Genomic DNA, 13,518 nt, shown 5'->3' on the forward strand with positions numbered 1-13,518 from the left:
CGGTTTATGCACACCCTGGTCCTTAGGTTGCATATGTGGCTGACGCTTTCCTAGAAACTTTGTTTCTGGATGAGCCAGGATGTGTGGTGTGGTAGATAGACCCTCCTAGTCAGAGGACTAGGAGTTGGTGGTCCAGATTTTAACTTTCTTTTTCCGGTAGTGGTCTTCACCAAGTTACCTCTGGGGCCATCAGTGTCTGTATCTGTAGCACAAAGCGGTTGAGTTTGGTTTAAGTAGCTATGGCAAATGGGGAGATATCTTTGGCTTAGCACGATTCTCTTTGAGGAGAAAAGAATGGGCTTCTTGGACCAGTTTTGAGAATTTGATGATTTGCTGATCCAGCAAATATGTATTCAACCCATAGTATGTGTTAGGAACAGCCCCAGGTGCTGGAGATAATATTAGTGAACAAAATAGACCTAGATCTCTGCTCTCCCAGAGCTTACAGTGCAGTGGGAGAGCCGGGTATAAATAACATAGCTCAGTTAAATGGAGTTAACTGTTGGAAGGTGACAGCTGCTATCAAAACAATGCTGGGAAAGAGGACTAGGTGGCTTAGTGGCAGGTGTGGTGGTGAGAAGGAGCCCTTCACTGAGGTGACATTTGAGGAAAGATTTGCACGAGGTGAGGGAACAGGCCAACCAGGAGGCTGGGGAAGAGCGGTCCTGGCAGAGGAGTGAGCAGGTGCAGAGGACTCCCAGAGCGATGCTGGCGTGCTTGAGGAGAGGAGCTGGGGCCAGGGTGGGTCTGGCCGAGAGAAGGGGAGAGTCGTGGGGTGCGTCATGAAAGGTGGTGGGGTAGGGCCTCATGACCACAGTGAAGACATGGACTGTTCTTTGATTCTGGCTGAATGGGGAACCTTTGGAGGGCTTTGAGCAGAGAAGTGGCATGGTCTGCATTAGGTTTAATGGGATATCTTTGGCTGCTGTACTGAAGACAGATTGGAGGCGTTGGGAGTCGGGGCAAGGGCAGAAGCAGGGAGACCAGGAGGCCAGGGTGCCGCAGCGTCCAGTGGTCACTGGTGGTGGCGGCTTGCACCTGAGTGGAAGCTGTGGTGGTGGCAAGAAATGGTAAGTGATAAGAATCCGAAGGTTTGGCCGGGCGCGGTGGCTCACGCCGGTAATCCCAGCACTTTGGGAGGCTGAGGTGGGTGGATCACTTGAGGTCAGGAGTTTGAGACCAGCCTGGCCAACATGGTGAAACCCCGTCTCTACTAAAAATACAAAAGTTAGCCAGGCGTGGTGGCAGGCGCCTGTAATCCCAGCTGCTTGGGAGGCTGAGGCAGGAGAGTCGCTTGAACACAGGAGGCAGAGGTTGCAGTGAGCCAAGGTCGCGCCACCGCCCCGCAGCCTGGGCAACAGAGCGAGACTCTGTCTCAAAAAAAAAAAAAAAAAAAAAAAAATAGAATCTGAAGGTTCAGTCTCTGACTGTCTGGGCTGGTTCTTTCCCGGGCCGCTGACTCTCTTGGCTCCCGAAGGGCTGTTGCTTTCCGCAGTTGCAGTTGGAATTCTCGCCACACTTCACTTTAAAAATGCCAAGACAAAATCACAGCACACTGGGCTTGAGAACACAGGCAGTCTTTCAGTGTGGGTCTGATGTTTGCTATTTTAGCTCAGCTCCGCCTGGCAGGGTGTGGTCTGCTGACAGAGGGTATGCAGGCAGCTGGGGTATGTGGAGTATGACGTTTGAAAGTGGCATGGTGGTGGCTGGGCGCTCTGGCTCATGCCTGTCATCTCAGCACTTTGGGGGGCCCAGGCGGGTGGATCACCTGAGGTCAGCAGTTCGAGACCAGCCTGACCAACATGGTGAAACCCCGTCTCTACTAAAAATACAAAAAATAGCTGGACATTGTGGCAGGCATCTATAATCCCAGCTACTCAGGAGGCTGAAGCAGGAGAATCATTTGAATCTGGGAGGTGGAGGTTGCAGTGAGCTGAGATCGCGTCACTGCACTCTAGCCTGGGCGACAGGGCAAGACTCTGTCTCAAAAAAAAAAAAAAAAAAAAAAAGAAAGTGTTATGGTAGCAAGAAAGGCCCAAATTGAGCATGGCAAGGATGTGAGTGCTGGGATAAAGCTGGAGCACAAGAGGGTTCTTAGTGATGTGGCTCTGACAGCCTTCAGCTTACATTGCCAGAGCCACGAGATGTCTGTGAGCAAATCAGACGGTCGGCTGAATAGGCCACAGTCCGTCCTCAGCCGAAGGAGAGGCACTGTTGGGGATAATGAATTCATTTGGAAAACGTTTACGAGCTCCTCTCCTGTGCCAGGTGCTGTGGTGCGTGCTGAGCAAGCCATGTGGCTCTTCACGGCTGGACGCCTGCCCTGTGAACACATGCGCACAGACTGCAGTGCTGGGCAGGTGGCAGTCCCGGGACCCTGGCAGAGTAGCAAGGCCCTCACTGGGTGGAATGCTCATGTCCTCCTTACACAGGTCCCGCTTCCGCCGAGACCTGGCTGTACAGCAGGAACCGATCTGGCTGCTGAGGTCAGGGGAGGGTGTATAGGAGTGGGGAGCGCTTGACTGGGGAGGAGGGGCATGGAGGGTGGTGAGCAGGCACTGGAGCTGCTTCCAAGGCCATGGTGAAGATCTGAGCTGTGGTCCTAAGAGCCATGAGAGAGTGTTGAAGGGTTTTAAACAGGGAGGGGTGTGATACTGTGACACTGTTTGTCATCCTTGAAGAGAGGGCGAGAGAGGAAACTGGTGGGCTTCTGAGGAGGCCGAGGCCAGATGCTGTGGGGTTGGAGAGGATCGGGCATGTTCAGGGTACACATGGCACACTCAGGATTCACTGATGGGCGGGGTGCTGGGGGTCGAGGTGATCTCCAGGGTGCTGGCCTGAGGGGATGGGAGTGTGGTAGGCAGAATACTGGCCCCCTAAAGGTGTCCTCATCCTCATCCCTGACCCCTGTGAATATGTTCTGTTACATGGCAGAGGGGAATTAAGGTCGCTAATCAGCTGACCTGAAATGGGGGAATTGTCCTGTTACCTGGTGGGCCCAGTGTAACCTCACGAGCTTTTGGACGTGGTCAGAGACATGGTGTGGGATGGACTCCACCCACAGCGGCTGGCTTTGCAGATGGAGGAGGCAGCCACCAGGAATGTGGCGCGGCTTCTAGAAGCTGCGAAAGGCCTTCTGCAGATGGCTAACAGGAGAGCAAGGCCTTGCTCCTGCATCCGCCAGGAGCTGAATTCTGCCGCCAACCGGAGTGAGCAGGAAAGGGGTTCTCCCTTCGAGCCTCCCGGAAGGGGCACAGCTGGCTGACGCCTGGACTTCAGTGTGATGAGACCCATGCCGGATTTCTGACCTTCAGAACTTCGAGATAGTGAATGCATGTTTTAAGCTGTGGTAATTTGTTACAGCAGCTGTGAAGAGTTGGGGACTGTGCCGAGGGATGTCTGACAGGGAATGGCAGGTGGCCCAGCACCTCCCTCAGCAGAGTCCTGCACTTGGATGTGGGCAGGAGTACCTTGGTCAGCGGCCTTGGGGGTGGTCACTGGGTAACCTCCACAAAGTGTGTTTAAACCCAGGGGACTGAAGTCAGCTCGGAGGGTTCTTCCTATGTCCTATGTCCTGCTCAGGCCTAGGAACCAAATAGAGCCCTGCCTCTTTCCTCAGAATGTTGGCTGCTGCTTCTGGCCGCCTTGCTTTCTTGTGTTTTTTATAAATCTGTATTGCCTTTTGCTTATGTTTTGAAGAGATTGTTTATTGGGTAAGAACCCTCAGTCCTGTTTTCCATGCAGAGGGAAGCCCCGGAGTCTTGTTCCGGCAGTGATTGTGTGTTCCCCGCCAGTTGGGTTTCTCTTCTTGTTTGTGAGTGGAGATGACCTTCCTGTGACGGGGGCCGCGGAAGAGCTGGTGGGTGAGATTTTGCTGTAGGTGCAGTTCCTTTTCTTGTTCCTTTCAGCGGTTACTTTCCATGTTATTAAATGTCTTACTTTGTCCAGAAACACTTTGAAAAATAAATTGAATGTGAATCATATTTCCTTTCTCTTACATATTCGTCTGATAGAGTAAATCTGGACTCTGGGTTAATTTTAAATGAAGACAAAAATGATTGATCCCTGACAATTTTGGATTATTTATTTATTTGTTTCTTAAGTAACAAGAGCAGGAGGAAGTACCCCATCGCCTCCAAGTGTTTTTGAGGAACCATGGGATTCCTCATGGAATTGAGGAGAACAAGTCTTCGGAGACCACTTGTCTGTTTTTCTTTCTGTTTTTCTTTTTAATTTTTTATTTCTATAGATTACTGGGGAACAGGTGGTGTTTGGTTACATGAGTAAGTTCTTTAGTGGTGATTTGTGAGATTTGGGTGCACCTGAGCAGTATACACTGAACAGTGTATACTGAACAGTGCACCCGAGCAGTATACACTGAACCCAGTCTTTTATCCCTCACCCGCTTCCCATCCTTTTCCTCTGAGTCCCTGAAGTCTATTGTGTCATTCTTATGACTTTGCATCCTCATGGCTTAGGTCCTACTTACTATTTTTTTTTTTTTTGAGATGGAGTCTTGCTCTGTTGCCCAGGCTGGAGTGGAGTGGCGCGATCTCAGCTCATTGCAACCTCTGCCTCCCGGGTTCAGGTGATTCTCCTGTCTCAGCCTCCCGAGTGGCTGGGATTATAGGCACATGCCACCATGCCCGCCTAATTTTTGTATTTTTAGTAGAGATGGGGTTTCACCATGTTGGCCAGGCTGGTCTTGAACTCCTGACCTCAAGTGATCCACCCGCCTCGGCCTCCCAGAGTGCTGAGATTACAGGCGTGAACCACCATGCCTAGCCGTTAGCTCCCACTTATGAGTGAGAACAGGTGATGTTTGGTTTTCCATTCCTGAGTTACTTTACCCAGAATTGTTGTCTCCAATCTCATCGAGGTCTCTGCGAATGCCAGTAATTCATTCCTTTTTATGGCTAAGTAGTATTCCATCGTATATATACATATACATATATATGTATACACACATATACATATATATGTATACACACATATACATATATATGTATACACACATATACATATATATGTATACACACATATACATATATATGTATACACACATATACATATATATGTATACACACATATACATATATATGTATACACACATATACATATATATGTATACACACATATACATATATATGTATACACACATATACATATATATGTATACACACATATACATATATATGTATACACACATATACATATATATGTATACACACATATACATATATATGTATACACACATATACATATATATGTATACACACATATACATATATATGTATACACACATATACATATATATGTATACACACATATACATATATATGTATACACACATATACATATATAGTATACACACATATACATATATATGTATACACACATATACATATATATGTATACACACATATACATATATATGTATACACACATATACATATATATGTATACACACATATACATATATATGTATACACACATATACATATATACATATATACACAAACACACATGCACCGCACTTTTTTTTTTTTTTTTTTTTGAGATGGGAGTCTCACTCTATCACCAGGCTGGAGTGCAGTGGTGTGATCTTGGCTCACTGCAACCTCTGTCTCCTGGGTTCAAGCTATTCTCCTGCTTCAGCCTCCTGAGTAGCTGGGATTACAGGTGCTCACCACCATGCCCAGCTAATTTTTGTATTTTTACCATGTTGGCCAGGATGATCTCCATCTCCTGACCTCCTGATCCTCCTGCCTTGGCCTCCCAAAGTGCAGGGATTGCAGGCATGAGCCACTGCATGTGGCCACACCACACTTCCTTTATCCACTTGTTGATGGATGGGCATTTGTGTTGAAAAGAAGTCATCTCTGTTTTTCTTTCCCTGAACGGCCACAGTGTAGCACGGCCTGCCTGTGGCTAGGACAAGGGCAGTGCTCACTTGCAGGGGCCTGTCCTGGCTCTGTGGCCTGAGAGTGACACCTGCCCCTCCTTTCCTTCTCTGGCAGGCTCAGCATCTCTGCCCCTCCTCAGCTCAGCCCTTCACCCCCTGAACACAGGCCGTGGAGATCTGCATCGTGCAGTGCTTCTAGGTGCAGTGGGGAGCCCAGGAACAGGAGCCCGTGTCCTGTCACAGGGTGGGGAATGTCACCGTGCTTGGCCCTGGGAGCACAAGATGACCCACCTGCGTAGTTCTTTTTCCTGAGGAGTCGGGGAGCGTGTCTGTGTGCGGAGCAGGCTCAGAGCAGGTGTTCCCTGCAGCGCTCAGAACTGAGGTGGCTGGGGCCTTGGTGTCACACCTCACGCTAGGGATTGTCTGTGGAGTGCTTCCCTTGGGCTAGGCACTTATTTTTATTTTTTTTGGAGATGGAGTCTTGCCCTGTTACCCAGGCTGGAATACAATGGTGCCATCTCAGCTCACTGTAACCTCTGCCTCCCGGGTTCAAGCAGTTCTCCTGCCTCAGCCTCCCCAGTAGCTGGGGCTACAGGCTCATGCCGCCACACCCAGCTCATTTTTTTGTGTGTGTGTTTTAGTAGAGATGGGGTTTCACCGTGTTGGCCAGGCTGGTCCCGAACTCCTGACCTCAGGTGATCCGCCCACCTTGGCCTCCCAAAGTGCTGGGATTACAGGTGTGAGCCACTGCACCCGGCGGGCTAGACACTGTACATGCAACCACACGTGTAGTCCTCATAGCAGCTGGGGGTGGTACCGTGTGGTCCCTATTTTACAAATGAGGAAACTCAGAAGCTGAGCTACGTGCTCAAAGCCACACAGCTCATAAGTGGCAAAGCTGGGGTTTGAACCTTAGAAGTCTGTGCCCTTACCCATCACAGCCTCATCCTTATCTCCTCCATTCCCTAGGGGACTTAACAGGTGTTGAAATTATTACAGAGAAAGCTGACTCACTCACCAGGAATCTGATCCTGCTGTGGGCTGGCTTGGGTGGAGGTGTTCCTCCCGCCCCCGCACCCATCCTCCTGTTTGAACTCAGGCTGCTGCCTGCTGGGCCTGCCTGCCCTTGGAGCCCTGCTGAGCTCAGCCTGAGGCCTGGCTCCTCCAGGCTGGGGGAAAACCAGGCTTGCTGTGCTCGGCAGCAGAGATTCTTCTGGAGTGAGGTGAGCAGCTTGTTCTAGGTCCCCCCTGGTGTTCTCTTTGCAGACAAGAGGCAGAGGTATCAGGAGGCCCAGAGGGAACAGGGCTGCCTGGGCTCTTCCCATTTCTGGGCCCCGTGCTGTGGGGAACTTTCATTTTGAGTATCCCCAGACTTTTTGTTCCCCCTTTCTGAAATGTTTCCTCTTTTCTGGTGATAAACATGGAAATTCCACCCCGAGTGCTGCGGTTCATGAAGGGGCACGTAGGCCCTTTGAGTCCAGTTGCTTAGAATACCTGTGGGTTTCCTTATTAAGTAGGAAGTAGAGGCTGAGAACGTCTGTGTTGTTACTGATGGCAGCCCCCCGGGGCAGGGCCAGGCATTGCTGGGCGCCCTCTCCTCCCTGAGTCTGCCTTCCGTAAACGGCCTGCAGTGGGGAAGGTGGGCCTCTGCTCAAGGCCCCGAGCTCCTAGGGGAACGGGTTCACCTTCAGGCCCATCCAAGGCAGAGCCCTTTCCGGCTTCGGGGCCCCTGATATTTCTGGGCCCCCGACTGCATCCGCTCTGTTCCCACGGGTCCCTCCTGGGTGTTCTTGCTCATGCTTGGGTTCATTTGAGCGCTGCCTCGCCCTCCGCCATCCTCTTCCTTCTCATGTGCGCTGTGTGCACCGGAGCCCGGCCGATGCTGATAGAATTTTTAAGTGTGCCGTGCAGCTTTCTGCACCTGGGCCTCTACTCCTTGCTGTGCTGGTTTGAAATGGGCCTTCTTTTATCAAACATTTTTACTAAACTAAAAAATAAAATAGGCTTGCTGGCTCTAAGGCTTTCACCTAGATGAGGCGAGTGATGTTTATTGCAGTCGTCTGGATGAGCTCCTGATCCTTGGCTGAAAGCCATCAGTGGCTCGGGATGTGTGGAGAGGACAGGGCAGAGGACCCGGTCTTGGAAAGGGGGTGGGTCCCTTGGTGTCACTGTGGCTCTCTTAGGGGTGGCAGCTCCTCCGCGAGGGCTTGGTGCACCCGCTGCCCTTGTTTTCACGTGAATGTGTTTGGGGCGGGAGGCTAGCGAGTTGCCTGGGACTCCCTACATTATGCTGTTGGGGTCGGGAGTCAAGAGGAGATCTGGCCTTGCTTCTTTCCGAATACGGAAGGGATCTGGGAGGAAGAAAGGTTCAGAGACAACCACAGTTTTATAGAATCTATGACTATTTTCCTGCTCACGTCTGGGGCCTTGGGAGTTGCTTTCTCGGGGTGGAGGAAGAGCACAGAGCGCCACCTCTTCTGTTTTGAGACTGGGTCTGGCTGCTGCCAAGTTCTCAGGTTTATTGATGGTGCAGTAGGTGATTCCTGTGCGGCCACAGCTGCCTCCTGGAAGGGCTGGTAGAGGGTTGTTGGCTGTGGGCCGCATTTTGTTTTCTCTTAGAATTAATCTCTATAGTGAGTTAGTTTTGTGTTCCAAAACCAGTCACTAGAGCCACTGTAACAGCTTGTGCATCAGCCAGATGTGCCTGCCTCAGCCGTCATGCTTTTAAATAGCTGAGAGAAAAGGCCACCTTTACAGCAGCTCACTAGCTTTTAAGAGGGTGTCACCTAGCTGGGTTTTGTCGTGAGAGAATGTGCTGTGTTCTTGGAAGTTAATTCCTTCAAAGATACGGTGTACCTTTAAAATGCTTAATCATTCACACACGTGCACAGTGAGGAAGAGAATTAAATGGAACAAGCAGTTATGGGATGCGCTCTGTTTGCACATGAGGCCCTGGGGCGTGTGCAAAGGTGAGCCTGGTGTTACTCCTGCTACCGAGGGACTTCGTTTGCTGAGGGAGACAGACCAGCCAGGAGCTTCTGCCGCAAGGATGCTGGTGCCAAGCGGGCCACGGAGGGGCCAGGAAGCCCTGTGGCAGTATAGGCAAGGAAAGGGGAGTTTTCACTGAGGACATGAGATGACATTAAAGTGGACTTTGAAGGTTACCTGGGGTGTGGGGCGTGTTCTGTAGTCAGGGGCTGGGACAAGGCCTTCTTGGCACAGGGTGGCTTGAACACAGCCTGAGTGAGGAGGAGTACAGGGTGTGTTTGGGAGCCTGGCGGGTCGCTGGCTACCTGAGAACAGAGGTGTGCGTGGAAGTAGTGGGCACAGCTGTGGCTGTATGGTGGGATGGTGTGCGTGGAAGCAGTGGGCATAGTTGTGGCTGTGTGGTGGGGTGGTATGGATGGAAGGAGTGGGCACAGCTGCGGCTGCGTGGTGGGATGGGAGGTGAGGGTCAGTGTTCAGGATGGTGGCTGCAGGAGTTTTGGCTTGAGGCTCTTTTGTGTTTGGAGTAGGGAAGGTTTCTGAGCAGGAGTGACCTGATCAGACCTCCTGCTACTGTTTATTGACCTCTTGCTGTGTGCCAGAGACAGAGGCTCAGGTCAAGGAACTGGCCTGAGATTGCATGGGTAGGACGAGGCCAGCCAGGATGTCGGGTGAGAACCATGGCCGTGGGGAGGAGAGAGAGAGGAAGGGGACTGTCAGGAAGTGCTTGCAATTCAGTTAGTTCAGTAGATATTCAAAACGGACCCTGTGCCACACTTTGCAAAAGGTGGGAAAAAAGAGCCCTCCCGAGAGGGGATGTGTGAGCCGAGAGGGGCAGGAGGACACTGCACAGGCCTCATAGGACCTGAAGGCATACGAGTTCTTCCCCAAGGCCTGTAGGAAGACCTTGAAGGATGTTCAGCTGGGGAGTGACCCATCCTCTGATGGGCACAGGACGACAGAGCTGAGGCCAAACCCTGGGGCAGCCGGTGCAACTGTCATGTTCTTCTCAGGAGCAGGGGATGGGTCAGGGCCAGGGCTGATGGACAGGAGAAGAGAGATGTGTGGGAGGTTTCCAAGGTGACCTAGAGGATGTGGAGACGTGGGTGGGTGGTGTGCTTCAGGGAGGAGACGAGGCTGACCCTCCTGTTGGTGGATGGCAGTTCTGGAGGTGGTCACAGGAGATACATGGTCAGAATGAGAGAAAATGGAGCCCCGATTTAAGTTAGTGGGACAGAGGGTTTTCGATGCCAGGACATGGGCCAGTGAGAGCCAGGGGCCGCCAGAAGAGGGCTCGAGGGAGAGGTACGAGGCAGGGATGAGCACATTGTCTATTTTTGTGTGACTGGTAGAGAGTGATGTTGTCCAAGGGTGGGGACCGAAGAGTGGGTGTGAGGAGTGGCCGGTGGGGCACAGCTGATTTTTTGGGGGAACCCGTTGACGTGAGGTGGTGGATTCGTGGCTGAGAGTTGGCAGTGGTTTTGCTTGGAGGCACGTGTTTGAGAACCGTTTACTCGGGTGGAGGAGGTCAGGAGAGAGCATGATTTTTCATAAGAGAAGGAAGGAGGACTGAGGACTCGGCTTTGGGGAGCAGAGTTGGGAACACACAGAAGAGTCTGGGGCATGCAGAGAGGCTGGCAGGAGGCAGAGGAGGGAGCAAGAAGAAAGAGCTCAGTGTGATGAGTCCTGAGGGGAAGCTGGGCAGGGCCAGGATTGAGTGAGAAGCAGCAAGAAGGAGAGAGGGGAAATGGGCCTCGGTGATGGCTGGCTGCCAGGGTGGCGGAGCCGCTCCGAAAGTCATGCATCACTTAGCGACGGGGACGCCTTCTGAGACATGTGTCCTTAGGTGATTTGGTCCCTGTGTGAACATCACAGAGCACATTTATACAAACCCAGGTAGAGTTAGCGCAGTGTCGCCTGCTGCACACCTAGGCTGTACGGCACCGTCTGTTGCTCTGAGGCTATGTGCCTGTACAGCATGGTACTGTTCTGAATACTGCAGGCAGTTGTCACACAATGGTTGGTATTTTTGTATCTAAACATCTCTAAATATGGAGCAGGTATAGTACAAATACAGAATGAAAGATAAAATGGCATACTCGTGTAGGGCAGCTGGTGCGATTGGCGCTCACGGGACTGGACGGTGCCCTTGGTGGGTCGGTGAATGAAGGGTGAGTGAATGGGAAGGTCTGGGTCCTCACTGTGCATCGTGTAGATGTCATTAGCACTCTACATTTAGGCTCTACTAGATTCATAAACACACCTTCTTTCTTCAGTAGTAAATTAACCTTAGCTTGCTGTGACTTTTAAACTTCATAAACGTTTTGATTTTTAAAAAACTTTTTGACTCCTTTCTATTGACACATAGCTTAGAACACAAATACGTTGTACAGCTGCACCAAGATATTTTTCTTTATATCCTGACTCGGTAAGCTTTTTTCTCTTTTTAAAATTTTTTATTTTTTACTTTTTCAGCTTTTTGTTAAAAACTAAGACACAGACACACACATTAGCCTAGGCCGACACAGGGTCGGGACCGTCAGTGCCACTGGCTTCCACCTCCACATCTTGCCCCAGTGGAAGGTCTTCGGGGGCAATAACATGCATGGAATCATCATCTTCCATGATAACATTGCCTTCTTCTGGAATGCCTCCTGAAGGACTAGGGACTTGCCTGAGGCTGTTTTACAGCTTTTATTGTATTTTGTTTTTTAAACAAGCAGAAGGAACATAACTCTAAAATAATGATAAAAAGTATAGTACAATAGGCCAGGCACAGTGTAATCCTGTAATCCCAGCACTCTGGGAGGCCAAGGCAGGTAGATCACCTGAGGTCAGGAGTTCGAAAGCAGCCTGGCCAACATGGTGAAACCCCGTCTCTACTAAAAGTACAAAAATTAGCCGGGCGTGGTGGTGGGCACCTGTAATCCCAGATACCCAGGAGTCTGAGGCAGGAGAATCGCTTGTACCCTGGAGGCAGAGGCTGCAGTGAGTCGAGATCACACCATTGCACTCCAGCCTGAATGACAAGAGCAAAACTCTGTCTCAAATAAAAAAACAAGTATAATACAATTAGTACAATGAATACATCCATAAAGCAGTAGCATAGTTGTTCATTATGATCAAGTATTACGTACAGTACATAATGTATGTGCTATACTGTTATAGGACTGGCAGTGCAGTAGATTTGCTTACATCAGCATCACCGCAAACACAGGAGTATGCTTTGTGATGTGATGTAACTTTGGCTGTGACATCACTAGGTGACAGGAATTTTTCAACTGCATTATAGTCTTACAGGACCATGGTCCTATATGTGGTCTGTTGTTGACTAAAATGTCGTTATGTGGTGCGTGGCTTGACTTCTCTGTGTTGGACAATTTCTTTCTTTCTTTTTTTTAAAGGTGCCCACCACCACACCTGGCTAATGTTTGTATTTTTAGTAGAGACGGGGTTTCACCATGTTGGCCAGGCTGGTCTCGAACTCCTGACCTCAGGTGATCTGCCCGCCTCGGCCTCCCAAAGAGCTGGAATTACAGACGTGAGCCACAGCGCCTGGCCAGGACAATTTCAAAATACTTCCATTTCCTTCATATTTTCTGTTTTCTATAATAAACACACATTGCTTTTGTTATGTGCGGGAAAAAATCATTGTAAAAATGCTGTTTCCAAGACCTATTTCCAGAGATGTCCGTTTGACCCAGTAATTGCCTCAGCCCCTACTGGGTTCTCAGTGCTCCGAGGGCTGTGAGGAGTGTGACATGAGACAAAATGCAGCCCCTGTAGCAGGGAGTTTGTGGTCCAGAAGCAGCACCACATAGCTGGGAGCCTTGCAGGACAGCGTATGTGTTGCTGCCAGTCAGAGTGGTGTGGGTGTCGGGGCGGGACAGCCCTCGGAGACCCTCTGGTTTGGGTCTCAGGTACCACATGTTTCTGCTGTTGACCCTCGGGGTGGGCACAAGTTTCAGATTATGCTGTGGACGGAGGGGATGGTGGAATTGTTCACTGTTGCCATGATGGTTTTTCGTACATTTTTCCTCCAAAGCTCCTAGAGTTAATTTCCTTGGAAAATTTACTTCTGAATATATTTTATAAATCTGGGGAGTATCACCATGTGTTAGAATGAGCTGAGTGGTAAATTCAGTTGCCAATTTGAGTACGTATTTCAGAAAGCTGCTATTGACCCCTAAGGGGGCACTGAATAATGACTGTGCTTGGAGAAGAGAGGTTGATTAGCCATCAAATGAATTTGACTAGATGACTTGCCTGTTTACTTCATATATGTGAAATACAGAGAAGCATTTAATCGTAAATGTTTCATTTATTTTATGATCCTGAGAACATTGCAGCTGGATTTATTGCTTTTCCATACTTTTATTTTCTTTCACTCTTCCCTGTTTCCCTCACTGCTATTTTCACCTACTGCTGTTTAACCTTCAATTAAAAAAAAAAAAGCTGTTCTGATACACCATCAGGTTTGTTTGAAAAGAGCACCTTGGTGTAGAGGCTTCAAATTCAAACCAGAAAAACATTCTGCAGGATCTGCCAGGGAGAGCTGCCTCCTGTCAAAACCCAGCGGCCTTGCAGCGTTGGCCAGAGTCGCTCTGTCCCTCTTGACTCTGACTTGT

At 49.9% G+C, this 13,518-nt stretch overlaps 1 protein-coding gene across 19 annotated transcripts in view, besides 10 other annotated features; it reads left to right on the top strand.

The window, feature by feature from the left end:
• TBC1D22A (TBC1 domain family member 22A) overlaps positions 1–13,518 on the top strand; it is a 413,050-nt gene that overhangs the window by 4,458 nt on the left and 395,074 nt on the right. The window contains 1 exon segment of one of the 19 annotated variants that reach the window (NR_104292.1): positions 941–1,070. The exons of 17 other annotated variants lie outside the window; for them this stretch is intronic. The gene's annotated coding sequence lies outside the window, so the exon portion shown is untranslated. 19 annotated transcript variants of the gene reach the window in all.
• Positions 1,750–1,799: an enhancer, noted in NCBI's record as "active region_19255". NCBI's record gives its function as "activates an Ori minimal core promoter by ATAC-STARR-seq in GM12878 lymphoblastoid cells {active_cell/tissue: GM12878}" and the evidence as "EXISTENCE:reporter gene assay evidence [ECO:0000049][PMID:35858748]".
• Positions 1,918–2,798: an enhancer, noted in NCBI's record as "H3K27ac-H3K4me1 hESC enhancer chr22:47164922-47165802 (GRCh37/hg19 assembly coordinates)". NCBI's record gives its function as "activates a minimal SCP1, AML or CMV promoter by ChIP-STARR-seq in naive H9 embryonic stem cells {active_cell/tissue: H9 hESC(naive)}" and the evidence as "EXISTENCE:reporter gene assay evidence [ECO:0000049][PMID:30033119]".
• Positions 2,050–2,259: an enhancer, noted in NCBI's record as "active region_19256". NCBI's record gives its function as "activates an Ori minimal core promoter by ATAC-STARR-seq in GM12878 lymphoblastoid cells {active_cell/tissue: GM12878}" and the evidence as "EXISTENCE:reporter gene assay evidence [ECO:0000049][PMID:35858748]".
• Positions 2,799–3,677: an enhancer, noted in NCBI's record as "H3K27ac-H3K4me1 hESC enhancer chr22:47165803-47166681 (GRCh37/hg19 assembly coordinates)". NCBI's record gives its function as "activates a minimal SCP1, AML or CMV promoter by ChIP-STARR-seq in naive H9 embryonic stem cells {active_cell/tissue: H9 hESC(naive)}" and the evidence as "EXISTENCE:reporter gene assay evidence [ECO:0000049][PMID:30033119]".
• Positions 6,017–6,531: an enhancer, noted in NCBI's record as "H3K27ac-H3K4me1 hESC enhancer chr22:47169021-47169535 (GRCh37/hg19 assembly coordinates)". NCBI's record gives its function as "activates a minimal SCP1, AML or CMV promoter by ChIP-STARR-seq in naive H9 embryonic stem cells {active_cell/tissue: H9 hESC(naive)}" and the evidence as "EXISTENCE:reporter gene assay evidence [ECO:0000049][PMID:30033119]".
• Positions 6,532–7,047: an enhancer, noted in NCBI's record as "H3K27ac-H3K4me1 hESC enhancer chr22:47169536-47170051 (GRCh37/hg19 assembly coordinates)". NCBI's record gives its function as "activates a minimal SCP1, AML or CMV promoter by ChIP-STARR-seq in naive H9 embryonic stem cells {active_cell/tissue: H9 hESC(naive)}" and the evidence as "EXISTENCE:reporter gene assay evidence [ECO:0000049][PMID:30033119]".
• Positions 6,660–6,839: a silencer, noted in NCBI's record as "silent region_13918". NCBI's record gives its function as "represses an Ori minimal core promoter by ATAC-STARR-seq in GM12878 lymphoblastoid cells {active_cell/tissue: GM12878}" and the evidence as "EXISTENCE:reporter gene assay evidence [ECO:0000049][PMID:35858748]".
• Positions 7,110–7,189: an enhancer, noted in NCBI's record as "active region_19257". NCBI's record gives its function as "activates an Ori minimal core promoter by ATAC-STARR-seq in GM12878 lymphoblastoid cells {active_cell/tissue: GM12878}" and the evidence as "EXISTENCE:reporter gene assay evidence [ECO:0000049][PMID:35858748]".
• Positions 7,230–7,299: an enhancer, noted in NCBI's record as "active region_19258". NCBI's record gives its function as "activates an Ori minimal core promoter by ATAC-STARR-seq in GM12878 lymphoblastoid cells {active_cell/tissue: GM12878}" and the evidence as "EXISTENCE:reporter gene assay evidence [ECO:0000049][PMID:35858748]".
• Positions 10,584–10,663: an enhancer, noted in NCBI's record as "active region_19259". NCBI's record gives its function as "activates an Ori minimal core promoter by ATAC-STARR-seq in GM12878 lymphoblastoid cells {active_cell/tissue: GM12878}" and the evidence as "EXISTENCE:reporter gene assay evidence [ECO:0000049][PMID:35858748]".

The sequence above is a fragment of the Homo sapiens genome, chromosome 22 (genome assembly GCF_000001405.40).
Source record: "Homo sapiens chromosome 22, GRCh38.p14 Primary Assembly".
Lineage (NCBI taxonomy): Eukaryota > Metazoa > Chordata > Mammalia > Primates > Hominidae > Homo > Homo sapiens.